We start from the raw sequence: 27,948 nt of genomic DNA on the forward strand, positions 1-27,948 counted from the left end.
ATTACTAAAACACCATGGGTTCAGTCTAGGCCTCGCCTCTTACCATGAGCAGAAAGCCAATGACTGAGACAAGAAGTATTGCTAAGGAAGAAGGTTTTAATTGGGTGCAGCAGCCAAGGAGATGGGAGATCAGTCTCAAATCCATCTCCCTGACTGACTAAAACTAGGGATTTAGATGGCAGTGAAGAAATGTAACTATGTGTGAGAAAACAGGAACTCAGGAGGGGTAAGGAAGCAATCATAAGGAATGAGGGGCCTGGAGTCTCATTGTCTGAATGCGATCATCTGGTGAGTTGTAGTTCTTTGATACTTTTCAAGAGGCATGAGAGTCCTTTTCTGAGAAAGAAACTCAGGTAAAATAAATTAAGTGTTCAAGCTTTAAGACCAGAAGTGTCAATTTCTATGTTTATTCCCCTACCCCCACAAAAAAATCTATGGGACTATTGGGTCAGTTTCAGTAAGAAAAAGACCAACTATGATCAGCATCAACCAGAACAAATATTATTTGATTACCAACCAGTTTAGGTCTTGGGAATTAGAGAATAAAAGAATAAACCTTGCCTCAAGGAGCTTAGGAGATAGGGCATATACACTCAAAAAAAAAAAAAGTTGTAAACTGTTTCCTTTTGGGTCAATCCAGCACAGAAATATGTTATATTATAGAATGATACATTAATATTTAAAATATTAGGTAATTTCATATAAAACTTTGGATCTCAGCTTTGCTTCAAAACCAGGACACAGAGCATTATTGAGTGTTGAGAGGAGGAAGTGTTTCAGGGACCATGGGATATATTTTGCACTGAAGACAAAAGAAGCACCATGTATGAACTGATGGGGACTGTGGCCTATAAAGCGCAGAGCAAGATGAAGTACAAAGTTGAGAGGTATATTAGTCAGCTTGGGCTGCCACAACAAAATATCATAGACTGAATGGCTTAAACAAGATAAATTTGTTTTCTCCCACTTCTGGAGACTGGAAACCCAAGATCAGAGTGCCACCATGGTCAGATCCTGTTGAGGGCTCTCTTTCTGGCTTGCAACCAGCTGCCTTCTCACTGTGTCTTCAAATAATGCAGAGAGAAGCCCCCAATCCCATCATGAAGGCTCTACCCTCTTATAAGGCCCCCAATCCCATCATGTATGCTACCCTCTTGACCTAATCTAACTATAATTACCTCTGAGAATACCCATCTCCAAATACTATCACACTGGGGGTCCGGACTTCAACAGATGAATTTGTGGAGGACACACTCATTCAGTCCATAACAAGGAGCTAAGGTAAACCACTTGCTAGATAATAGATTTGCATGTAATAAAAGCCTTGTTGGAAAAGACATGACTTTTCAATAATCTCATATCATCACTCTTTTATATTTTAAATTCAGTATACTTAATAATCTTTCTTTACTCCAAACTTCACCCTTTATTTTACAATACAAATATTATTCCCCAAAATGTTATCTTGTACCCCTTCCTACTCCTATTTATCATTTCTAGCCAAGGTAATGTACAATCCATTTCATACCAGTTATATACATAAAGCCATGAGCTCAATTTCACAAACCACATGAGAAAATTTGCCTTGTTAATTTATATTTGCTTTTCATACAAAATAATATTTTTAATTAGTAGAGATTTAGAATCTTGTCAATAATAAAATTAGTTAATTCAGTGATGCTAAAGAGAGTCAAATAAGGTAATGTTTTACTTTAAAATTAATTACCTGTGCACATTCTTTAATAATAAAGAAGCATTTCACTTATTTTGTAAAACTGCCGTTAAATATTTAATATTTTAAAACATCCTGTTAAGATTTGCTTTTGTCCATAATAATCACCATATTTACAACATTATTCTCCATTGCAGCTCTTTTCTTTGAAAGCGGGTGGCTTGAATTTCATAATTAGTAAAATAGAGCATCAAAATGCAACTTTTGTCAAGATCCTAAAAGAATAAACTTACATCAGAATAAGGTCCAAATTATACTGGTGTTAGAGCCAATGAAATCAGCAAAACAGGGGCTCCCTCTTAGTGCTCCATGTACAACTTTCCCTTTAGAGGTCTTCACCTCACCATCAGAGTCCCTGAAGCTGGGTTTGGAATCAGCATTTGCTCTGAGAAATGCAGGAAAAGAATGAGCTTATCTTTGACAAGAATGTTAATGCAAAAGAGACCTCAAAACCTGTATAACCAATTTACAGATTTGAACCACTATCACAGCTCTACCACTTACTAGCTCTTTGGCCATTTAAGCTGTCTGAAATGCAGTGTCCTCATCTGCAAAAGTGGTATGATAATAATGCCTATTACCTAGAATTATCATGAATTAAGTTCTTAGCACAGTGTCCTACTAAAAGAAAGCAATTCAATACAGACAAAAGAGCCAAATGAATACACGAATTTATTTTCCCTCCTTCCTGAAACCATATGATATTAGTTGCGTTGTTTTGTTCTGTTGTTTTGTTTTGCATTACTTTGATTTTTTCAATATGCAAAGCCGAGAAGAGAAAAGAAGAGGAGGGAAGAGGAGGGGAGGGGAGGGGAGGGGAGGGGAGGGAAGGGAAGAAGAGCGGCAAAAGTTTCAAAGCCAGAAAGTAAATAATTGACTAATGGTAACTGACAGCAAACCCAAGAAAGCAAAATACAAAGCTGGTACTGGGAGAAGTGAGAAGCAACCCTATCTATTTACAGCAGGTAACTGCCCTCCTCTGGAGGTGTAGGTGAAACTAAATCCAGAAGACGAAAATTGGTCAAAAGTGTTTTTAAGAACCACTTATCTCACCACGATATTGTCAGATGAGCTCTGATATGGTTTGGTTCTTTGTTCCCACCCAAATCTCATCTTGGATTGTATGCCCATAATTCCCATGTGTTGTGGGAGGGACCAGTGGGAGATAATTGAATCATGGGGGCCATTTCCCCTATACTGTTCTCATCATAATGAATAAGTCTCACAAGATCTGATGGTTTTACCAGGGGGATCTGCTTTTGTGTCTTCTCTCATTCTCTCTTTGCTTGCTGCCATCCATGTAAGACGGGACTTCCTCCTCCTTGTCTTCCACCATGATTGTGAGGCTTCCCCAGCCACATGGAACTGCAAGTCCAATTAAACCTCTTTCTTTTGTAAATTGCCCAGTCTCTGGTATGTCTTTATCAGCAGCATGGAAATGACTAATAGAGTAAATTGGTACCAGTAGAGTGGGGGCGTTGCTGAAAAGATACCCAAAAATGCGGAAGCAACTTTGGAACTGGGTAACAGGCAAATGTTGCATAAGTTTGGAGGGCTCAGAAGAAGATAGGAAAATGTGGGAAAGTTTTGAACTTCCTAGAGACTTGTTGAATGGCTTCACCCAAAATGCTGATAGTGATATGGACAATAAGGTCCAGGCTGAGGTGGTCTCAAATGGAGATGAGGAACTTGTTGAGAATTGGAGCAAAGATGACTCTTGTTATGTTTTAGCAAAGAGACTGGTGGCATTTTGCCCATGCCCTAGAGATTTGTGGAACTTTGAACTTGAGCGAGATGATTTAGGGTATCTAGCTGAAGAAATTTCTAAGCAGAAAACATCCAAGAGGTGACTTGGGTACTGTTAAAAGCATTCAGTTTTAAAAGGGAAACAGAGCATAAAAGTTTGAAAAACTTGCAGTTCGACAATGTGATAGGAAAGAAAATCCCATTTTCTGAGGAGAAATTCAAGCCACCTGCAGAAATCTGCATAAGTAACAAGGAGCCAAATGTTAATCCCCAAGACAATGGGGAAAATGTCTCCAGGGCATATCAGAGATCTTCACAGCAGCCCCTTCCATCACAAGCCCAGAGCTCTAGGAGGAAAAAGTGGTTCCATGGGCTGGGCCCAGGGGCCCCGAGCTGTGTACAGCCTAGGGACTTGGTGCCCTGCATCCCACCTGCTCCAACCATGGCTAAAAGGGGCCAATGTAGAGCTTGGGCCATGGCTTCTGATGATGCATGCCCCAAGCCTGGGCAGCTTCCATGTGGTGTTGAGCCTGCAGGTGCACAGAAGTCAAGAATTGATGTTTGGGAACCTTCACCTAGATTTCAGAAGATGTATGGAAACTCCTGGATGACCAGGCAGAAGTTTGCCACAGGGATGGGGCCCTCATGGAGAACCTCTGCTAGAGCAGTGAAGAAGGGAAATGTGCGATAGGAGCCCCCACAGAGAGTCCCTACTGGGGCACCACCTAGTGGAGCTGTGAGAAGAGGGCACCGTCCTCCAGACCCCAGAATGGTAGATCCACCTACAGCTTGCACCGTACACCTGAAAAGCCACAGACATTCAACACCAGCCCATGAAAGCAGGTGGGAGGGAAGCTGTATGCTACAAAGCCACAAGGGCTGAGCTGCCCAAGAGCATGGGAACTCACCTCTTGCATCGGTGTGACCTGGATGTGAGACATGGAGTTAAAGGAGATCATTTTGTAGTTTTAAGATTGGACTGCCCGGCTGGATTTCAGAATTGCATGGGCCCTGTAGCACCTTTGTTTTGGCCAATTTCTCCCATTTGGAATCATTGTATTTACCCAGTGTCTGTACCCCCATTGTATCTAGGAAATAACTAGCTTGCTTTTGATTTTACAGGCTCATGGGCAGAAGGAACTCACCTTGTCTCAGATGAGACTTTGAACTGTGGACTTTTAAGTTAATGCTGAAATGAGTTAAGACTTTGGGGGACTGTTGGGAAGGCAGGATTGGTTTTGAAATGTGAGGACATGAGATTTGGCAGGGGCCAGGGATGAATGATATGGCTTGCCTCTATGTCACCACCCAAATCTCATCTTGGATTCTACTCCCATAATTCCCATGTGTTGTGGGAGGGACCCGGTGGAAGATAATTGAATCATGGGGGTCATTTCCCCCATACTGTTCTCATGGTAGTGAGTAAGTCTCATAAGATCTGATGGTTTTATCAGGATTTCTGCTTTTGAATCTTCTATCATTCTCTCTGCCTGCTGCCATCCATGTAAGATGGAACTTGCTCCTCCTTGCCTTCTCCATGATTGTGAGGCTTCCCCAGTCAAGTGGAACTGTAATTCCAATTAAACCTATTTCTTTTGTAAATTACCCAGTTGGATGGCTGTTTCACCCCATTGAACATTTACATCCTGAATGCCAAGATCTTTGCCTTCTTACCCCATGCACATCACAGAGGTTGAAAGCCAGGCCTATAACCTTTCCAGCAAGAGATTGGAAGCAATTACTCAAAAAATCTGACCTGTACACTGAAAAATAGGATCAAAACAAAATGAAAAGGCTTCCCAGAGAAACATAAACTATCCAGAGAGAAGAGATTTTCAAAATATTATTATTAAGATACTCGGAAACCTAATACAAGATAATTCATCTATGAAAAAGAGAGCAGAATACTATTTTTAAAGAGAAACATTAGAAAACAAAGAAGGGCTTCCTGATTTCCACTCTAGGCAGTGATACAGTAAGTGGAGTTAATATGCCCCCGTATGATTTCCAAAATCACACAAAGGCCACATGTGAATATCATTCAGCTCTGACATCCTGCTTTAACATCCTTTATTCATATTCATCTTCCCTGATTCCCTATTTTGGTTTGAATGTCCCTTATGTGACTGTACAACATATCCTGTGCATATATCTTTCATAGCCATATACAATATACCATAAATTTTTATGTTTAGTTGTCCATCTCCCACACAGAGTGTGAAGATCCTCCAGGGAAAGACCGGGTATCACCAACACATGGCATGATGTCTGACATATTAGTATGTGCTTAATAAACGTCTGTTGAATGAATAAATTGAATGGATGAGTGAAATGCTGTCACACTAGTTTGGTATGTCACCAGGACTGATAATCCCAAAAGTCCATTATCAGCTTTGCTGAACTCCCATGCTGAAATCAGCTATGCCACTTTCCAGAGGAAAAACAAAAAACAGAAAAATGCTTAGGTAGAGAAAGAAAAGAAGGATAGGATCCTTTCTTCAGTAAAGAATGCCCATTTGAACAAATAATATCTAATTATATACAAGAAAAATAACTCTATGAATCACCTATGGATTTCTCCTTCCAATTGCAAAGGCAAATGCTCTGTTACTATCTCCAAATTCCCACTCACATACTTTCAAACATTAACAGTAGTCAGATCTGAAGATTCTTTTTGGTTCTATATTTTCTGATGTTTCTATAGTAGACAGGTATTACTTGGATAATAAAAATTAATTATATATATATAATAATATAAATTCAAATCAATACTGAAATATACTTTAAGAAAATCCCCACCTCTTTCTGAATCAACAATGGCATAGGGATCTTAACCTTGTTCCTACATCATAGTCAACAGTGAAGCTTGTTAAAAGATACTATTGTCCTGGCTCCTCTCAGATATGCAGAACAAATATCTATGAGAGAGACATCTAGGTATGCATATTTCTAACTTGCTACACAGGTGAATCTGATGTCCAAGCAAAGCTCGTAGTCACCACTTATAGAACATATAAAGGCTCCTTACAGATCTATGATCTTAATTAAATAATCAGGACTCCACCCATTCATTGACTTCATTCACAACTGACAGGTAAGAAAGTACTCATTAACTGGGTAAGAAGAGGGAAAAAGAATACATAAAGAATAGGATTTCTCAGGGTAATGACTGAACACAGTTTAATCCAAATCCAGAGTATCTATTAAGTGAAGACAATGAATAAAACAGGACTTACCAGGATTACTTCAAGTTTATCTTGCTTTTCTATATTTCTAACTGCTAAGGCATAATTTATTAGAGGATTACCTCCGTTAAAACCCACCCTCTTAGCCTTTTTGCCAGCAATTCTTTCCAAAGCATATAAAAGCTTATTTCAGTTCTTAAGAAGCTAGTTAATCAAATGGATATTCAAGTTCACTTGCCTGGTGTCCTTTGCAAAGAGTTGACACTGAAATAAGGGCTTATAGCACATTCATTTGAGCTATTAACCATGCCTTCTAACTATTTATCTTCCTTCCCAGACTCAAAAGCTAAAATTTTGTTAGCCTGTCACTTTATTTTTATTCAACATATTGCATTTGGATAGCATCACTATTATATTAATGTAATGGATCATTTCTGTAATTGAGTGTGAATACTATCACTTTTCACCCTTCTAGAGTTATTAATTTCAGTTTATTCATTGAATTTTTGAATGTAGCTGCACAGTAAATAATGCAACACAAAGAGGCGTTAACCTATTCACGAAGCCTACGACAAGGATATAAAGCCAGTGGTGTATTAACTTTAAAAATAGATTAATCTTATCTTGTAAAAAGAAGATAAAAGATAGTTCTGTCAGTAAGAACAACGATGCTTGAGGCTGTAAACCATACTTGAAAATATAAAGAGAAGCCTGGAAGCATATGTTAAATTTTTCTTTCTGTCCTTGGAGAAAGCCTTCAACTCAGTGGAAATTAAACACACCACACACACACACACACAGACACACATACACACACGCACACACAAACACATACACCTTCAGTCATTCAGGTATTTCTTCATATTGGCTATGTTGATAAAGCATAAACCCAACAATAACAACAATAATTATAATGTCATCTCACAGCACTTTACAGAAGCCTTTATATACATGAAACTGAAAATTGATTGAATTCTTAAGTGTGACCATTACACTGTCCAATAATATCCTAAGGCATATAGATTAGAAAACGAAGTAGAGAACGTAACAGTATTAATCACACTAACACAGTAGTTCAAACTAGCAACAAAATTCAGTGCAAATTACATATCTGCAGAGTCATGTAGGAAAGATATTTGAATAGCTTAAGAATTATCCTCAAGTTTTTGAGAAAAGCACTCAACATCATTTGTAAAACACAGACAAACCTGGATTAAAGGACTGCCAAATGGATTACGAGCTCTTTGTATTGTGAGCTCCTTAGGGTGGACTGAGACTGCTTCATCCTCTCTTTCCTAAAGCCTAGCACAGTGCTAGCTATATACAAGGAGCTTAACAATTTTAAGGGAATAAACCAGCTAAGATTCTTAAATACAGCCTATTACAGAATAACTAGTGATACCCATACTACAACTCTGTTGAGTCAAACACATGTAGGATTAGATACAAGCACAATGTCTAAAGTGTTTTTTTTTTCCTTTTGTGTATAGAAATAGAGTAGCTACAGGACAGAGATGGAAGAAACGAGAAGCTCACTTACCTTGTCTATTCAAAGTCATTTATATGTAAAGCATAGTGTATAACATAGTGGCTTTACAGGAAGCTGAGAACTGAATATGATACAGCAATGAAAATGAAGGAACTACTGTTATATGCAACCACATGGATGAATTTCAACACACAGAGAACCTAGACCAAAGGCAAGTCACTTTGCATTTTTTTTGGTTTGTGTTGTGGTCTGAAAAATGAGGCTGATAATACCAACCACATAAGTTTTCTGAAGATTGAGTTGTCTCTTGTGTATAAAAATCATAAAATAAATGTTAATCATCATCAAATTTATTAATGTTATGATTATATGTGTGGTGCTCCCCTAGCACTGTGGAGAGATTGTATCCTGTCAGAAAGTAGTTTACAATCTGGTAGAAAAGATAAATAAGAGATGGATGTAGCTACTGTGTGCCTTTGTTTTTCCATTTGTGAAAATAGATAATAACACCCACCTAATCAGTTCACTGCACTCCAGCTTGGGTGACAGAGCAAGACCCTGTTGAGAGGTGACAGCATGCTGGCAGTCCTCACAGCCTTCGCACGCTCTCGGCGCCTCCTCTGCCTGGGCTCCCACTTTGGCGGCACTTGAGGAGCCCCTTCAGCCCACCGCTGCACTGTGGGAGCCCCTTTCTGGGCTGGCCAAGGCCGGAGCCGGCTCCCTCACCTTGCAGGGAGGTGTGGAGGGAGAGGCGCGAGCGGGAACTGGGGCTGCGCGCGGCGCTTGCGGGCCAGCTGGAGTTCCGGGTGGGCGTGGGCTTGGCGGGCCCCGCACTCCGAGCAGCCGGCCCGCCCTGCCGGCCCCGCCCTGCCGGCCCCGGCACTGAGAGGCTTAGCACCCGGGCCAGCGGCTGCAGAGGGTGTACTAGGTCCCCCAGCAGTGCCAGCCCACCAGCGCTGCGCTCGATTTCTCACCGGTCCTTAGCTGCCTTCCCGCAGGTCAGGGCTCGGGACCTGCAGCCCTCCATGCCTGAGCCTCCCACCCCCTCCATGGGCTCCTGTTCAGCCCGAGCCTCCCCGATGAGCGCCGCCCCCTGCTTCAGGGCCCCAGTCCCATCGACCACCCAAGGGCTGAGGAGTGCGGGCGCACTGCGCGGGACTGGCAGGCAGCTCCACCTGCAGCCCAGGTGTGGGATCCACTGGGTGAAGCCAGCTGGGCTCCTGAGTCTGGTGGGGACGTGGAGAATCTTTATGTCTAGCCCAGGGCTTGTAAATACACCAATGGGCACTCTGTATCTAGCTCAAGGTTTGTAAACACACCAATCAGCACCCCGTGTCTAGCTCAGGGTTTGTGAATGCACCAATCCACACTCTGTATCTAGCTACTCTGGTGGGGCCTTGGAGAACCTTTATGTCTAGCTCAAGGTTTGTAAATACACCAATCGGCACTCTAGCTAGCTCAAGGTTTGTAAATACACCAATTAGCACCCTGTGTCTAGCTCAGGGTTTGTGAATGCACCAATCGACACTCTGTATCTGGGTACTCTGGTGGGGCCTTGGAGAACTTTGTGTGGACACTCTGTATCTAGCTATTCTGGTGGGGATGTGGAGAACCTTTGTGGGTAGCTCAGGGATTGTAAACGCACCAATCAGCACCCTGTCAAAACAGACCACTCGGCTCTACCAATCAGCAGGATGTGGGTGGGGCCAGATGAGAGAATAAAAGCAGGCTGCCTGGGCCAGCAGTGGCAACCCGCTGGGGTCCCCTTCCACACTGTGGAAGCTTTGATCTTTCGCTCTTTGCAATAAATCTTGCTACTGCTCACTCTTTGGGTCCACACTGCTTTTGTGAGCTGTAACACTCACGGCGAAGGTCTGTAGCTTCACTCTTGAAGCCAGCGAGACCACGAGCCCACCAGGAGGAAGGAACAACTCCAGACGCGCCGCCTTAAGAGCTGTAACACTCACCGTGAAGGTCTGCAGCTTCACTCCTGAGCCAGCGAGACCACAAACCCACCAGAAGGAAGAAACTCCGAACACATCCGAACATCAGAAGGAACAGACTCCAGACGCACCACCTTAAGAGCTGTAACACTCACCGCGAGGGTCCGCGGTTTCATTCTTGAAGTCAATGAGACCAAGAACCCACCAATTCCGGACACACTGTCTCTAATAAAGATAATAATAATCATACTTATATAATGGATTTTGGTAATTGGAAATTATTTCCTAAAATATAAATGTTATAAAAACAAGGATTTGTCTGTTTTGTTTACCCTTATACTTTTGGAGCCTACATGGTATTAGGTGGTTAGTAAATATTTGTTGAATAAATGTATGCATGAATGAATGAAGCATATAAAACACTTAAGAAATGCCTAGCACATGAAAAACATACAGTAAGTTCTAGCTATCATTAATAACTTAATATATAATATGGTAAGAAAAACTAACATTTATTTACATAAAGTAGAAAATTTGAAGAGTTAAAAGACTTGTGCAAAAAAAAAACCCAAAACACTATGAAATTCCTGACAGGAATGATAATTTTTATTTAAGAGGAACTGTGCAACAACAGAAACACAGTTAAATAAACTATGGTATATTCATAATTTAAAATAAACCACAGAAAGTGAAAAAAAAAGCCATACATAGTCACATAGATGACTCTCAGGAGCATATACTCTATTATTCCAGTTATATGAAGTTCAAACCAGGTCACCAAATATTTTGTAGTATTTAGAATACTTACTTTTGGGAAAGATGGAAAGTATAGGATTGGAAGGACATAGGGAGGACTCTAGTGTTAGTAATGTTTTATGTAGTGACTTGGGTAATAATTCCACAATAACGATGTTACTGAAATACCCAGGGTTCAGTCTAGGTCCAGTGTAGGTCCTGCTGCACAGAAAGCCAATCACTGAGAGGATTATTGCCAAGGAAGAAGGCTTTAATTTGGTGCTGCAGCCGAGATCAGTCTTAAATCCATCTCCCTGACCCACTAAAATTAGGGGTTTAGATAGCAGGGAAGAAATGTAATAATGTGTAAGAAAACAAGTAGGAGGAGGGGTAAGGAAGCAATCACGGTGAATGAGGGGTCTGGCATCTCATTGCCTGGACTGGTGATCTGGTGAGTTTCAGTTCTTTGATACTTTCTTTTTTTAGAAGCCTGAAGGTCATTTCCTGAGGAAGGAACTCAGATAAATTAAATATAAGTTTCAAGCCTTAAGACCAGATGGGTCAATTTCTATGTTTATCAAAAACAAAAAAGCAAACAAAACCTATCTATTGATGAGACTATTGGGTCAGTTTCAATAATTCATTCTGTATGTTTATTATTTCTCAGATTTGTTTTTGCTATCGTAACAACCCCAATATCTCGGTGTTCACAACAAAATGTATTTTGTTCCTTGCTTCCATTACATGAGAACCGTGGCCTGCTATGTTCTCCTGGGTTCACTTAGGCTCAGCTCAGTTTCACTTCATTCCAGGAATCTCCTTTCTGTGACCCAGGCTAGAAAAGTAGCTACTATTTGTGGCATGCTTTTCATATGGCAGAGTTTAGAAACTCAAGGGTGACAGAGGCAAACTATGCAGCTGTATTAAAATTTTCTGCTCAGATGTAGAGTACATACAGCTTGTTCAAAACTTTGTTTTTTGTCTATTTGACCCAGTCATTTCTGTTACCAGTAGAGGGTGTCAAAGTTCTCAGCATCTTGAACAAAGAATGGGACAAAATGCACAAATAAAGCAAGGAAAGAAAAGCACAGATTTATTGAAACGAGTACACTCCACAGAGTGGGAGCAGGCTCCAGTAAGCAGCTCAAGAGTGCTGGTTACAGAATTTTCAGGGATTTAAATACCCTCTAGAGGTATTCCATTGGTTACTTGGTGTACACCCCATGTAAATGAAGAGGCTGAAGTGAAGTTACAAAGTTATTTACTTGGTGTACACCCTTTGCAAATGAAGAGGCTGAAGTGAAGTTACAATGTCATTTACTTGGGCTTAGAAAGTTGGGGTTTTTCAGTTTGATTTAGTTCTAGGAAGTCCTTAGGTTCCCTGCCTCCAGACCATATTGTCCTGCCTCCATCTCTACATGCCATGAGCCAGACACATATTCTTCTGAGACATAGATTTCTTGGCAGATATTTTAAGTTTATCAAGCTTTGGTGGGAATATACCATTAGTCTCTATCCTCAGTCATTTCTCCAGCTGAAAATATTATTTTATGGATATAAATGAGGTCCCATATTAGTGGAATTTGAGTTAATCAAAATTATCTTGTAGGAGGGAGTGTGGACTTGGACCAGGAACCTTCCTGAAATAGGAAAGCTTCTCCTCTTGGCCTTGAAGAAGTAAGCTGCTATGTTGTGAAAGAGTCTGGGAGAGGACCACATAGCAAGGAACTGCCAGCAGCTTCAAGGAACTGCAAGTAGCCCCCATCTGACAATCAGGAAGAAAAGGGGAACCTCAGTCCTACAAATGCAAGGAACTGAGCTCTGCCAACAACAATCACATGAGCTTGGAAGATAATTTGAGCTCCAGAAAGGAAGGCTGCCAGGTCAACAACTTGATTGCAGCTTTGAGAGGACACACCTAAGCTGTGCCTGAACTTCTGACCCATTGCCTCTGTGAGATCAAAAAAATAAATAAATAAAAATAAAAATAAAAATCATATTGTTTTAAGATGCTAACTGAATTTGTAGTAATTTGTTATACAGCAGTAGAAAAAAATAATAGATGCTCCATTCCATAAACTCTACATGGCCTCACATTGGTTCTTGTACTCTTCAAACTATCTAGGTAGGTAGTGGTTCTCAAATTTCAGTGTGCATCAGAATCACCTGAAAGCCTATTAAGAAGGAAGACTGCAGATTCTCTTCCCCAAAGATTCCAATTCATTAGATCTAGGATGGGGTCCAAAATTTTGTAATTCTAACAATTTCTCAGGTGATGCTGCTGCTATTGGTCTAGAGACCACACTTTGAGAACCACCAGACTACCGTGAGTATAATGTGAGTATAATTATTTCCATGCACTTCAAATGCCATCAGTAGCAAACTACTATGAGAACATAAGAATCTGATAAAGACCAATAGTTGTCCAGTCTATCATTAATGGGCATTTGAGTTGATTCCATGTCTTTGTTATTGTGAATAGTGCTGCAGTGAACATACATGTGCATGTATCTTTAAAACTGAATGATTTCTACTCCTTTGAGTATATACTCAGTAATGGGATTGCTGGATCAAATGGCATTTCTGGTTCTAGGTCTTTGAGGAATCGCCACTGTCTTCCACAATGGTTGAACTAATTTACATTCCCATAAACAGTGGAAAAGCATTACTATTTTTCTGCAGCCTCGCCAGCATCTGTTGTTTCTTGACTTTAATAATAGGATTCTGACTGGCGTACGATGGTATCTCATTGTGGTTTCAATTTCCATGTCTGTAATGATCACAATGTAATGTAACTACATTGAGCTTTTTTTCACGTGTCCATTGGCTGCATAAATGTCTGGTTTTTTTTTTTTTTTTTTTTTTTTTTTGAGGCAGAGTCTCGCTCTGTCGCCCAGGCTGGAGTGCAATGGCACTATCTCTGCTCACTGCAAGCTCCGCCTCCTGAGATCATGCCATTCTCCTGCCTCAGCCTCCTGAGTTGCTGGGACTACAGGTGCCCACCACCACACCTGGCTAATTTTTTGTATTTTTAGTAGAGATGGGGTTTCACCATGTTAGCTAGGATGGTCTCGATCTCCTGACCTGGTGTTCCCCCCTCCTCGGCCTCCCAAAGTGCTGGGATTACAGGCGTGAGCCACCACGCCCAGCCAAATGTCTTCTTTTGAGAAGTGTGTGTTCATGTCCTTTGCCCACTTTTTAATGGGGTTGTTTATTTATTCTTGTAAATTTGTTTAAGTTCTTGGTAGAAGCCAAATATTAGACCTTTGTCAGATGGATAGATTGCAAAATTTTTCTCCTATTCTGTAGGGTGCCTGTTCACTCTGATGATAGTTTCTTTTGCTTTGCAGAAGCTCTTTAGTTTAATTAGATCTCATTTGTCAATTTTTGCTTTTGTTGCAATTGCTTTTGATGTTTTTGTCATGAAGTCTTTGCCTGTGCCTATGTCCTGAATGGTATTGCCTACATTTTCTTCTAGGGTTTTTATAGTTTTGGGTTTGACATTTAAGTCTTTAATCCATCTTGAGTTAATATTTGTAGAAGGTATAAGTAAGGGATCCAGTTTCAATTTTCACTTTTTCAATATGACTAGTCAATTTTGCCAGCACAATTCATTAAATAGGGAATCCTTTTCCCATTGCTTCTTTTCATCAGGTTTGTTGAATGTCAGATGGTTGCAGATGTGTGGCCTTATTTGTAAGATCTCTATTCTGTTCTATTGGTCTATGTGTCTGTTTTTATACCAGTACCATGCTTTTTTTGTTTACTGTAGCCTTGTAGTAAGTATAGTTTGAAGTTGAGTAGCATGATGCCTCCAGCTTTGTTTTTTGCTTAGGATTGTCTTGGCTATATGGGCTCTTTTTTGGTTCTGTATGATTTTTAAAGTAGTTTTTTCTAATTCTGTGAAGAATGTCAATGGTAGTTTAATGGGAATAGCATTGAATCTCAAATTACTTTGGCGCAGTATGGTCATTTTCACAATAGTGATTCTTCCTATCCATGAAAATGGAATGTTTTTCCATTTGTTTGTGTCCTCTCCTATTTCCTTGGGCAGTGGTTTGTAGTTCTCCTTGAAGAGGTCCTTCGCTTCCCTTCTTAGCTATATTCCTAGGTATTTTATTCTCTTTGTAGCAGATGTGAATGGGAGTTCATTTATGATTTGACTCTGCTTGTCTATTGTTGGTGTATAGGAATGCCTGTGCTTTTTGCACATTGATTTTGTATCCTGAGACTTTGCTGAAGTTGCTTATCTTAAGGAGGTTTTGGGCAGAGACTATGGGGTTTTCTAGATATAGGTTCATGTCGTCTGTGGTACATATACACCATGGAATACTATGCAGCCATAAAAAGGAAAGAGATCATGTCCTTTGCAGGGAAATGGATGGAGATAGAAGCCATTATCCTCAACAAACTAATACAGGAACAGAAAACCAAACGTCACATGTTCTCACTTATAATTGGAAGTTAACAATGAGAACACAGGGACACAGGGAGGGGAACAACACACACTGGGGCCTTTCAGAGGAACAGGGGGAGGGAGAGCATCAGGATAAATAGCTAATGCTTGTGGGCCTTAATACCTAGGTGATGGGTTGATAGGTGCAGCAAACCACCACAACACATGTTTACCTATGTAACAAACCTGCACATCCTGCACATGTATCCTGGAACTTAATATAAAATTAAATTAAATTTAAAAGAAATCATATGTACTTCATAATTATATACACCTAATATGTACCCATAAAAGTTAGAAAATAAAAAAGCATGACACAGCAAAAAAAAGCCAATAGCTGGCTTTCTTTCATGTTAAAGGTTTGCACAAAAGAATAAAAAAGAGACAGAAGTTCTATTAAATGATATTCATTAGGCTTAATATCTGAATTTCATTAAGCTACCCGATTCTCATTATGCCTTAGGTAGGTAAGCAGGTGTACATTTCCATGGATGCACTGAGACATAACTTTTCCCCACATTATAATTTACATTCACATTTTTCTTTACTATTTTTATTATGGTTGGCCTGATTTATAGTAGAAATTGTTAAAATGTCATAATCAATATTTATACCTGAAGTTGTTACAGTTCAATATTCTGTATTTTAAGAGGGCTCAATAAATAGAAACTGAATTGATAATTATTAATTAAGTGTATAATATCCTTGTTTATACTACCTAAACAATTCAATACAAACTTTTCTTAAAGAATTACACCCACTCATAATAATATCATCAAGAAGCTGTGAATTTGCTATTCATCTGTTTCAGTATGGGGTTTAATAGCTGGGCCAATACACCACGGATCTAAAAGACACTATACATATCAAGATAATAACATATACCTAGGCTTTCTATGTTTGATGTTCCAATTTGTTTAGACATAAAAGTCACCACTTGTGTCTTTATTTTATATAAATTTTTTTTAACAGTAGTACTTCTTTCTATGCTGGCAGCTTCCAAGTAACTGCAGAATGGCAAGAACTACATCATTTAACGAATATTCATATCAAAGAGACAGTTATAACATTTTTCATGCCATTGCTCCTTTACCCTTCCTCAACACACTTTGAGAATTACAGTGAATTTTTGAAATCCTGAAAGAACTATCTTCAATCCTTACACTAGGCTTTAAAAAATATTTTTAAATAATATACCTTTGAATTAAAAAGGGAAAGAAATTTAGAAATAAATATTTGTGGGAGAATATCACATCAGCACATCCAAGATAAAATAATACATGAGAGTTGAGACTTAAAAGTGGTATAATAAATTGCTAGTAAAAAAGCATAATAATAATAGATAACATAACATTAACACAAAAATATAAGTTCCTCAGAGATAAGAATGTTTGCTTTTTGTTTACTTTATTCCTTATTTCTAGAATGATAAAAGTCCAGAATGCCTGTTGAATAAATGAATGGTTGAACAAATAAATGAGTGTGTTTGATACAGAAAAGAGATCATGATTCTCCCAGTCATCCAAAGCACATCTGTGAACCTCAGTATACTTGGGAGCAACAATCTGGAATATGGAAAGGTCCAGATTCCAGCACAATGCACTAGGTTCTCAGCATAAAAATGAAAAATACAAAATCTTGGTGTTCAAATGTCCACAGTCCAAAGCCAGATATATAAATAGTTCTGATACAATGATACAAGTGCAAAAAGAGTTATATGTATTAAAGGGCCATAGACTGGCTGAAAAAACATCATTTGAGCATTAGCTAAAAAGATGAGTGAGAGGAGGGAAGAGTAGAGGCACGCAAAGCAAAAGTACAGAAGTCCCAAAATTCATAGTGTTTTTGGAGAACAGTAAGCTGTATATTTCAAACTTTTAACCATAACCTGAAGCAAGAAATATACATACAGTACTTTTTTTAGACGGAGTCTCGCTCTTTCACCAGGCTGGAGTGCAGTGGCACAATCTCTGCTCACTGCAACGTCTGCCTTCCGGGTTCAAGCGATTCTCCTGCCTCAGCTTCCTGAGTAGCTGGGACTACAGGCGCGTGCCACCATGCCCAGCTAATTTTTGTATTTTTAGTAGAGACAGGGTTTCACCATGTTGGCCAGGATGGTCTCGAACTTCTGACCTCGTGATCTGCCTGCCTCGGCCTCCCAAAGTGCCAGGATTACAGGTGTGAGCCACGAAACAAGTTTTATGAAATAATACCCACCTTTACTCATTTGACACATTTAGTATTTTCTGATCTATTATTTCTTCTTAATGGTGGTCAAGTTGCACTAAATTAAAATTTCAAGATCATTTGTTTGAAAAACTGGGTTTGAGCATTGAATAGACGTGGCAAGCAGATCGCTGAAATGAAAATACTAAGAATGCTCTGCCAGCAGAACTCCAACTCTTCTCCCATGCAGGTGGTTTGCTGCTGAGCCGCACGGCTTAGGGAAGGGCTATGATCTAGGTCCCTTTCCTACTTAAAACATCTCACTGTGGTACAAAAGATCAGTAAAGAACTCCTTCTCTATATCAAATAAAAGGGCAGGAAAGGAAAGTGCCACAGACCTTTTTTAATCTGCTCTAGGGATAATGTTTGGTGCTTACCACTATTCTATCTAGAAGCATTAACAGTATTTAAAATTTATACTATTCTCATTTCTGGGAGCATTCCACATTCTATCTATATCTGGATCTATCTCAGAGTTTACCAAGTCACATTGTCACATTGAACTAATGAAGCAAAACTCTCTACATCCACAATAGACTTTGTTCAAGACTATTTATTGAGCACTTTCTATGTGCCAGCTTCTGTTGTAGTGCTAAGGACTGCAATAGTGGGAATACAAAAGTCCAAGTCTCCTGGAGTTGATATTGTATAGAAAACAAATAAATTAATTAAATACATACAGATAATAATGAATGCTGGGAGGGAACAAAATAGTGTCTTGGGTTTGAAAATATTATTTAAGGAAGCCAGGAAAGGCCTTTTTCATGAGGTAACATTTAAGTTGAGACATGAAGGATGAGAAGCCACTAAAGTGAAGTGCTAAGGAGAAAAACAATTTTCTCAGCACCAGAAGAGTATGCATGACGACCTGACACAGGAAAGAAATGTGTTATTAGAAACCAGTATATCTTGAGCCCAATGAAGAGTTGGGAAAAATGGTATGAGATGAGATGGGAAGTTACCTGAAGTTACTGAATTGTTCCATTAACTAACACGGGAAGTTACTGAAGAATGACATGGCCCAATGGGTTTTATAAAAGCTTATTCTTTCAGCTATGTAGAGAAGGGATTAGATAGGGTTGAGATTAGAAGCTGAGCGATCCCTTAGGAGACTAATTTTCAGGCAAGTCAATATGGAAGATTAGACTAGGGTGTTGACAATAGAAATGGAGAAAAGCAGATGGATTCAAGATATATTTTGGAGGTAGAACCAGTGAAACTTATATTCAGAATTTTCTTAAAAGAGACCATAAGGAAGTGAATTGAAAATTGGGTGAAGGAATGAATGTATTTAAAAGGAAAAGGTGACATTTTGAGGAAAGAAAGAATGGCAAAAGTATACACTAAGTAACAACCTATTAATAAAAGTAACATATTAAAGTGGTCACATTTACAACTCTAATCTGATGTCCTACACTGGGCCTCAATTATCTTAAAATAAGATATTAAACCAAGGCAGAAAAAGAGAAGAAATACTTCAAGGTTTTTAGCCTTAAATGGTTGAGCCCAGGCCACTGAAAAAAATACAATTTACCCAATTAAAATAACGAAGCAAGATTTAACTAAGATCATTTTAGTGAGAAACAGTTGTTCTCACCCTGGCTGCCCATTAGAATTCCCTGGGGAGCTTTTAAAAACTAGAAGCCCAGGTTCCACTGGAGTGATTCCGATTTAATTGGTCTGAGGTAGACCCAGGCATCGGTATTTTTTAAAAAGCTCCTTAGAGAATTCTAATAAGCAGCCAGGATGGAGAGTCTTGAGTTAGAAGTAGAGTACAGCTAAGGATGCCATATCAATAAACCTATTCTGCTAATGAAAGATTAATAGAGAAAATAGGATGAAAGAACTTTGATCCCAGACAAGGAATACAGGCCTATTGGTTACAAGGACATAATTCAAGACCACAAGAAAATAAAAATCCATTTTACTCTGAGTGACTTTTTTTTCAAGCTGGCAGAAAATGGCATTATGCCCACCTTGTTAATAACACGGACACCCATACAGATGCCACACATATTTAAAAACATATTTTATTTCCATTATGGACAACAAAAAGAGAGTAACAGCTGATGGTTGACTACAAGAAAAATATAAGAGAAAGAGGAGAGTGTCAATATTGCCCGGACAAGAAAACACAGGAAAAAATGAATTGCATTGAGAAAGTGATTAAAAGAAATTGATTCCGTTATTTCTGAGAGAAAAAAACGCATATATATATAGAATACACCTAGCAACGAGTTTGCTTGTATCACATGGCTCTTGAGTCTGCACTTTTCAGGATTTAACTCTTAAGAGAGCCACAGAATTATCAGAGCAGAGCCGAAAGCCAAGTAACTATTCTTCTAAGTAGAACCAGAAACCTAGTTCTTCCCCAACTGCAATGAAGATTCGCTGGTGGGTGAATGGGCAACTAAAGGCCAGAGAAGTTCTATTATTTGCCCTAAATCACTCAACTAATTAGTGGTCATACTGGAATCAGAACCAAGATTTTGCATTGTTAGGTTTTAATTTTGTTACATTTGCACTCTAACTGCACTGAAAACAGAAAAAAGAAATGCGTAGTGCAGTTTCTAAATTGCCACAGCTGGAGCACTTTAAGAGCTACAATTGTCCAGTTAAGGCGGTAGTGGGTGGATGGTGCTGCCATGTTAATTCGGTGGAATAAAACCAGAGGTGAGTTAGGCCGGGCGCGGTGGCTCACGCTTGTAATCCCAGCACTTTGGGAGGCCGAGGTGGGCGGATCACCTGAGGTCGCGAGTTTGAGACCAGCCTGACCAACAGGGAGAAACCCCGTCTACCAAAAATACAAAATTAGCCGGCCCTGGTGGCATGCGCCCGTAATCCCAGCAACTCGGGAGGCTGAGGCAGGAGAATCGCTTGAACCCAGGAGGCGGAGGTTGCGGTGAGCGGAGATCGCGCCATTGCACTCCAGCCTGGGAAACAAGAGCGAAACTCCCTCTCAAAAAAAACAAAAAACAGAAAAACAAACAAAAAAAACAGAGGTGAGTTCAGCAGAAGAAACAAAGGTGGATTATTAGTCTTAAGTGTGCGTGCCTACTTCAGGAAGGGAGTGAAAGCAAAAAACTGAGGAGCTAAGGGTGGGAGGGGGAATGAAAGGATCTCAGAATGTGGGCGTCGTGGGTGGGAAAAGGGATGCCAGGACACCAGAAGAGCAATACAAAACAGCTCCCGTGAGCAGGCACAGGAGACCTTCCGCGCCGCCGGCCGGGCGACCCCGCAGGAAGTAGGAAGGACGAGCGCGCACTACAAGTCCCAGAAGCCCCCGTTTCCTGGAGCCCGCGCCGTGCCGCGCTACGCCCGCCGGGAGCCGGGCAGAGCGGCCAAGATGTCGCAGCCCAAGAAAAGAAAGCTTGAGTCGGGGGGCGGCGGCGAAGGAGGGGAGGGAACTGAAGAGGAAGATGGCGCGGAGCGGGAGGCGGCCCTGGAGCGACCCCGGAGGACTAAGCGGGAACGGGACCAGCTGTACTACGAGTGCTACTCGGACGTTTCGGTCCACGAGGAGATGATCGCGGACCGCGTCCGCACCGATGCCTACCGCCTGGGTATCCTTCGGAACTGGGCAGCACTGCGAGGCAAGACGGTACTGGACGTGGGCGCGGGCACCGGCATTCTGAGCATCTTCTGTGCCCAGGCCGGGGCCCGGCGCGTGTACGCGGTAGAGGCCAGCGCCATCTGGCAACAGGCCCGGGAGGTGGTGCGGTTCAACGGGCTGGAGGACCGGGTGCACGTCCTGCCGGGACCAGTGGAGACTGTAGAGTTGCCGGAACAGGTGGATGCCATCGTGAGCGAGTGGATGGGCTACGGACTCCTGCACGAGTCCATGCTGAGCTCCGTCCTCCACGCGCGAACCAAGTGGCTGAAGGAGGGCGGTCTTCTCCTGCCGGCCTCCGCCGAGCTCTTCATAGCCCCCATCAGCGACCAGATGCTGGAATGGCGCCTGGGCTTCTGGAGCCAGGTGAAGCAGCACTATGGTGTGGACATGAGCTGCCTGGAGGGCTTCGCCACGCGCTGTCTCATGGGCCACTCGGAGATCGTTGTGCAGGGATTGTCCGGCGAGGACGTGCTGGCCCGGCCGCAGCGCTTTGCTCAGCTAGAGCTCTCCCGCGCCGGCTTGGAGCAGGAGCTGGAGGCCGGAGTGGGCGGGCGCTTCCGCTGCAGCTGCTATGGCTCGGCGCCCATGCATGGCTTTGCCATCTGGTTCCAGGTGACCTTCCCTGGAGGGGAGTCGGAGAAACCCCTGGTGCTGTCCACCTCGCCTTTTCACCCGGCCACTCACTGGAAACAGGCGCTCCTCTACCTGAACGAGCCGGTGCAAGTGGAGCAAGACACGGACGTTTCAGGAGAGATCACGCTGCTGCCCTCCCGGGACAACCCCCGTCGCCTGCGCGTGCTGCTGCGCTACAAAGTGGGAGACCAGGAGGAGAAGACCAAAGACTTTGCCATGGAGGACTGAGCGTTGCCTTTTCTCCCAGCTACCTCCCAAAGCAGCCTGACCTGCGTGGGAGAGGCGTAGCGAGGTCGGAGGGGAAAGGGAGATCCCACGTGCAAGTAGGGGGAATATCTCCCCCTTTTCCCTCATAGCCTCTAGGGAGGGAGAGTGACTTCATTCTCCATTTGAAGAGATTCTTCTGGTGATGTTTACTTAAAAAGTGATCCCCCTCAACAACGGATACAGCGTGCTTATTATTGGGCATTTAGCCTCAAAAGCATGTAGTACCAAGCACTTGTATTTCCGTATATTTTGTTTCGCGGGGGAGTGAGGGGGAAGAACACGGATGAAAATGTCAGTTTTTGAAGGGTCCATGCACATCCCTGACACCTCACACCTTATCTAAGTCTGAAGCTGGGGAGAAAGGGGTTCATTTAGACTTCATACATTTCCAGTACGACTTTAGTATCTCTCCAGAGCCATATTTTCTCAGTCCGAATTAATTCCCCCTCCCTAGGTGCCTGTAGGCTATGGTACTTCTTCCTCATTGTTTTCTAGGTAAACTTCACTACTGGTAATTAAGGGGAAGGATATGAGGAAGCAGTTTAAATAGCCCTGTTCTCATTACTCTGACCACATACATCATAGGGTGCTAAAGTTGATGAACACATTAATCCGTTAAGTAAAATGGACTTTGTAATTGTACAGCATACCTAAGAAACTCAGAAGGTGCATTTAAGAGAGAGACCTGAAAGAAATAGTATGGATTTTTAAAAATTCTTGTCTCTACTATTATAACCAAAAAATATTTCTTGTATGTCCCATAAAAATATTTGTGTAATTCTTATGAAACAGGCTGGTAGAGGAGGTTTCTGAGCCTAGCCCAAGGGCTTATTCATCACCATGGGTAAATTATTTAAACTCACTTAATTAAGGAAAATATTTTCCCAGCTAGAAAAGTATACTCATTCTCATTTAAACTCTCTCATTTGGAGGGATCATGTGAGTTGGCCTACTTACAAGTAGTGAAAGTTCCCTTTTCAGTTTTGTTTTGTTTTGTTTTGTTTTTCTCTTTCACTCAGCCAAATGTGAAAGTTGTGAATTTAGGAAAATCACTTGTAATGAAGTGTGAATCTTGTTATCAAATTTATTTCTCTGATGTTTCCTTCCTTATCCTTGTAGCCAATAAAACATTGACATTCTCACGTTTTATAGATGAGGTAAAAAGTCTTGTGTGCTGTGAGTTATAATGCTTTTGCCTTTTTAATATTATTAGTTCTTAAGTGTTACAGCCCCTTCAGAATATAACTTCAGGACAATTCAAACTATGCTTAATGTATGATTTTCGAGCTTCTGTATGCTAAGAAAATAGGTGTGAAAAACTGGTGTTCTGAAATAGCCTAACATTTATTGTAATTCTGAATTTTCTGCCCTTTTATTCATTGCATATTAAAGTATTAGAGTATAAAAACTAATTTGCTAAACTTTGGTTGTATATAACACAGATCTTCCATCATGGAGAGATATACATGTACAAAATTATCAATTTACAAGATAATTGAGTAGCAAGCAGTACAGTTGTAACCGTCACCATTTTGATGCTAAGATAGTGATCATCTCATGTAAATGCTACAGTCACAGCAAGCTAGACTTAAGCTAGAGGGAAAATAGAGCTCCTTATAAGGTGTTCTATGTTTTAAATCAAATATTTATTTAGAGTTTGAGTGTGTGATTTTGAGTAGGTTTCTGGTGGTTTGGTTTGTTTTTTAAAAAAAACTTGATTTAACAATTCCTTTACTAAGTGATAAATGAGAATATTCTTCCAAATTCTATTTTTTATATATTTGATAAATACTATAGAGTTATCATTATCAGTATAAGCACATAAAGGGAACCTCAGTTAAAACTTGGAGGAACTATAGAAGTAAAGGGTATGTATTCCATAGTTAAAGTAAGCTTCAGGATTTTTATTACTCCTTCCCAGAAGAAAAATGAATTATAAAAATACAGCGACTGAAGCAATTAGTCAAGAGTTAGCATAACATAATGGCTACAAAATTGGACTCTGGAGCCAGACAGCCCATAGTAGAACCTAGGCTCCACCACTCTTTGTGACCTTGGGCAAAATATTAAACACCTTTTTTTCCTTCAAAATGGAGGAAATTCCTCTCGTATGCAAAATGGAGATAACAATAGTACCTATGTCATAGATGTGAGAATAGAATGAGTTAATACATGTGACTACATAATGTCTGGTATGTAATAAGATCTCAATAAAGCCTCAGTGTGGTAGTTAGGGAAAAGTCAAACCTGGAGCACTTGGATGCATGCAAAATGTGTGACAGAATAAATATTCAACATTTTGATTTTTTTTACAGGTATTCAACAGTATGTGGTTGTACGTGAGGAGCAATGTATGACACTGTACACCAAATGATCCAAAGGGAATTCAAGACCTCTGGAGTGAGGACACCTCCAGAAGGATGAAGGTGTAAGATGTATCAACATCCAGGCACTGTCCAATCTGTCTGTATGGACTGGTACTGACTGCTTGGTGCCATTGGACCACAGGCAGGAACTACCAGGCCCAAAGGAGAGGAAAACATGGTAAAGTTCAACCTGCTTCCCTCAAACAACTTACATTTATTTTGCGCTGTGAAAGTTTACAAATATTTTCATTAATTCATTGGACCAATGGACATTTTATTGAGTATACAATGCAACAGTCATTGTGATAAGCATTTAGGATACAAACCAACAAAACACAGTTTCTTCCTTCAAATGATATGTTCATAAGATAAAATGGTAAGTACAATAAATGATAATGGGCTAAAGACTGGGATGGTCTTGGTGTTAGAAAGGGCAAGTAATTAACTCAATTTACATACCAGGAACAAGAGTTATACAGATATTGAAGGACTTGGCCTAAGTTTACATAGCTAATTCTTGGCTTTTAATTCCTAACTCCAAACAAAAATTCACATGTTTATTATATTAATCTTGCCTGCTTCAATTAAAAACAGAAGTGGGCACGGTGGCTCACGCCTGTAATCCCAGCACTTTGGGAGGCCGAGGCGGGCGGATCACCAGGTCAGGAGATCAAGACCATCCTGGCTAACACGGTGAAACCCCGTCTCTACTAAAAATACAAAAAATTAGCCGGGCATGGTGGCGGGTGCCTGTAGTCCCAGCAACTCGGGAGGCTGAGGCAGGAGAATGGCGTGAACCTGGGAGGCCGAGCTTGCAGTGAGCCAAGATAGTGCCATTGCACTCTAGCCTGGGTGACAGAGCAAGACTCTGTCTCAAAAAAATAAAAAAAAATAAAACACAGAAGTACGTACCTCCTGAATGAGTGACAACAGTTTTTATTGTTTGATGAATGAAGGAATGGGAAACATCCTTAGCTTAAGGAAGTCTCTATTAAAGATGTATCTCATAGGCCTCAAAGAACCACTTTCAGTGTATAGGATCTCACACTTGACAACTACTAGGCACTCATTGACATAAATACCCCCATACCAATTTTCCCAACAGTTAGTCAATTGCGGCACTCTCTGAGGCCCCCAGAAAACTGACTCCTCAAAATAGTAGCAAAGGTAGATGAACTCACAGGTGCTTGGTGCTGAGGAGCAGAGGCATCTGATGAGGCTAAAAGTGGGCAGGAGTGAAAAAAAGGTGAGTATGAAAGACACCTCCAGCAAACAAAACTGGCTAACGTTTTGCTTATAGCCATCCTTGTTAGCATCTTCACACTTTATACCACCCAATGCTGAGGAGAGATGAATCAGTCAAGGAGGCCCCCCTCCTCCCATATGTACATGTTTTTACCCATTCATTTCATGATTTAGTAAACACCAACTATAAAACATTCAAGTTCTATCATAAGCAAATCCTACCCTCTAAAAACTAGTATACAGTATGGGAAATAAAATTACCTATATCAGTTCAGTAATTTGCATCCTTAGCCTGGAAAGACTGTCAGGGCCAAGGGAAAAGTTCTCTGTGGCCCTCCGAAGTTTCTCTGAGAAGTCAACTCACAAATGCAAATTAATTGGAGAAAAGGCATACAAATTTATATAATCTGTACACACGGGAGCCCTCAGAATGAAGACCCAAAGATACAGGAGAAAGTGTCCATTTTTATGCTGAGGTTCAATAAAATACGGATAACTATTTAGAAATATGATTGCACAAAAAGAGTATGATCTCATGCTAACAGACTGAGCAGGGGATCCCAGCAGGGCCTGTCTGTCTAGATTCTTGGCCTCTCTGAGCATGCATTCCCTCCTTCTTGGTGTGAGGCAACACCATCTCTGGAATGAGGGTCTTATAACCCATAGTCAAAGAAGGTAGGTCACATAATTTCTTTATGAGTAGTTTTTATATAGAAAGGCAGAGGGAATGTGAGTAATGATTTTAGGTCTTATGACTGGCTTTGGGGAAAGGGGGTTCTGGTGTCTACGACCTGCCTTGGGGAAAAGCGATTCTAGTTTCTATGGCTAGCCTAAGGGGAGAATTGGACTGAGAAACAGGAGGGCAAGAGAAGATCAGAGAAACACTTTTGCTTCCAAGGTCTTCATTTTGGGGTATTTGCTGAGTCCCAACATCATTCCGACTAAATCTGTTGAAGCAAGGTTGAGAAGAGCCAGCCCACTTATCCTTAGTGCAAAAAACTCCCAAGTGCAAAAATATTACTTATCACATAGATCACGAAATCCTCAGAGAAAAAGTCTTCTCTGTTATTAGTTCCAAAAGTAAGTCTATGTCCTCTAAATAACTGGTTTGTTTCAGCTAATGAACACAGTATATTGCATAGACGACCCTTCTCACATAGGCTACTAGAGAGCTGAGCCAAATTTATGCTTTGCTGTGCTTTTTTTTACTTTACATCTGGCTCCACTTCTATACTCCAATTTTTTTTCTTGATTTATCTTCTGTCATTTATAATAAATATTACGTGTTTTGTTGGAACGTGTGTAACCTTATTCTCTTCTAAATTTTTTGGCATGAAAATATCTTCCTACCTTTTGGAATACCCGCAGAAGCTCTGAGGATAAGGAGGCCAGAAGACTCTGAGATATGTCCCCATTATTTCCTACAAAAGGTGGTGTCTCATCACATTGTTCATATCGATGGGTAACTGATGTGATCTCATCCTTTTAGCCAAATGTATAGCATTTTACATTTTATAGAATCAAGAGACTATGTGAAAAATCTGAGACATGAAGACAATTTGTGGAAACTAAATGTTCTGCAGGACTTTCTAAGCCTAGAACAGGCCCTGATTAAAATCTTAAACACAACAGTAAGGAGAGTTACAGACTTCCAAACCTCTTCCATAATGTGTCAAAACAATTTAAGTGATAGGGAAGAAGATGATACAAGGAGACTATTTCTCAAAATATTATACATGCTCATAGAAAAAGACATTTGAAACAAAGAATCTTGGACCTGATTAAAATTAAGAGAATTTTAGTAAAATTTAAGACATGACCAGTGACATCGGAATTGTACTCATTTGGAACCTTTGGTAATTAAGTTTATCATTATTGATAATAACTGTAGGGGAAGGCACATGATTTTAGTTGACTGAGTAAACCCTTATAACAGACACTTAAAATGCAGGGAGCTGAGAGAAAGAAAAAAAGTTCCTTTGTCTCTCTCTCTAGGCTGCCTCCTGCAAGAAAGGAAGGACAAAAAGAAGAGGTAGGATGGAAGGATATTTTCCCCACACTTTTTGAAATACTTTACAAACACTCCTATAATCATGTGATATATGTTCCTGAAAAACCCCCAAAATTCTGCAAAATTATTCAATAAAAATAACAAGCTTAAGGGAAAAATGGGTTTGGTGAACCATCAAAACATATGTAACTTTGTAACCAAGAGTCTAACAAGTGGGCGGTGTGGATCAGGCCTGAAATCTCAGCACTTTGGGAGGTCGAGACTGGAGGATTGCTTGAGCCCAGGATTGCAAGACCAGCCT

The 27,948-nt window shown here is 40.6% G+C and overlaps 1 protein-coding gene across 1 annotated transcript, besides 4 other annotated features; it reads left to right on the forward strand.

The window, feature by feature from the left end:
• Positions 1–20,816: 20,816 nt before the first annotated feature.
• Positions 20,817–23,437, forward strand: PRMT6 (protein arginine methyltransferase 6). Its single transcript, NM_018137.3, has one exon. It carries the CDS (start codon positions 20,859–20,861, stop codon positions 21,984–21,986), a length of 1,128 nt encoding a protein of 375 aa, NP_060607.2. The 5' UTR covers positions 20,817–20,858; the 3' UTR covers positions 21,987–23,437.
• Positions 21,049–21,098: an enhancer, noted in NCBI's record as "active region_1414". NCBI's record gives its function as "activates an Ori minimal core promoter by ATAC-STARR-seq in GM12878 lymphoblastoid cells {active_cell/tissue: GM12878}" and the evidence as "EXISTENCE:reporter gene assay evidence [ECO:0000049][PMID:35858748]".
• Positions 21,119–21,258: an enhancer, noted in NCBI's record as "active region_1415". NCBI's record gives its function as "activates an Ori minimal core promoter by ATAC-STARR-seq in GM12878 lymphoblastoid cells {active_cell/tissue: GM12878}" and the evidence as "EXISTENCE:reporter gene assay evidence [ECO:0000049][PMID:35858748]".
• Positions 21,269–21,398: an enhancer, noted in NCBI's record as "active region_1416". NCBI's record gives its function as "activates an Ori minimal core promoter by ATAC-STARR-seq in GM12878 lymphoblastoid cells {active_cell/tissue: GM12878}" and the evidence as "EXISTENCE:reporter gene assay evidence [ECO:0000049][PMID:35858748]".
• Positions 21,409–21,618: an enhancer, noted in NCBI's record as "active region_1417". NCBI's record gives its function as "activates an Ori minimal core promoter by ATAC-STARR-seq in GM12878 lymphoblastoid cells {active_cell/tissue: GM12878}" and the evidence as "EXISTENCE:reporter gene assay evidence [ECO:0000049][PMID:35858748]".
• Positions 23,438–27,948: the final 4,511 nt, after the last annotated feature.

Source organism: Homo sapiens, chromosome 1 (assembly GCF_000001405.40).
Source record: "Homo sapiens chromosome 1, GRCh38.p14 Primary Assembly".
NCBI lineage: Eukaryota > Metazoa > Chordata > Mammalia > Primates > Hominidae > Homo > Homo sapiens.

Bases quoted from the DNA above. Each gene is read 5' to 3' on its own strand.
- PRMT6 (NM_018137.3), top strand. From the start codon at position 20,859: ATGTCGCAGCCCAAGAAAAGAAAGCTTGAGTCGGGGGGCGGCGGCGAA.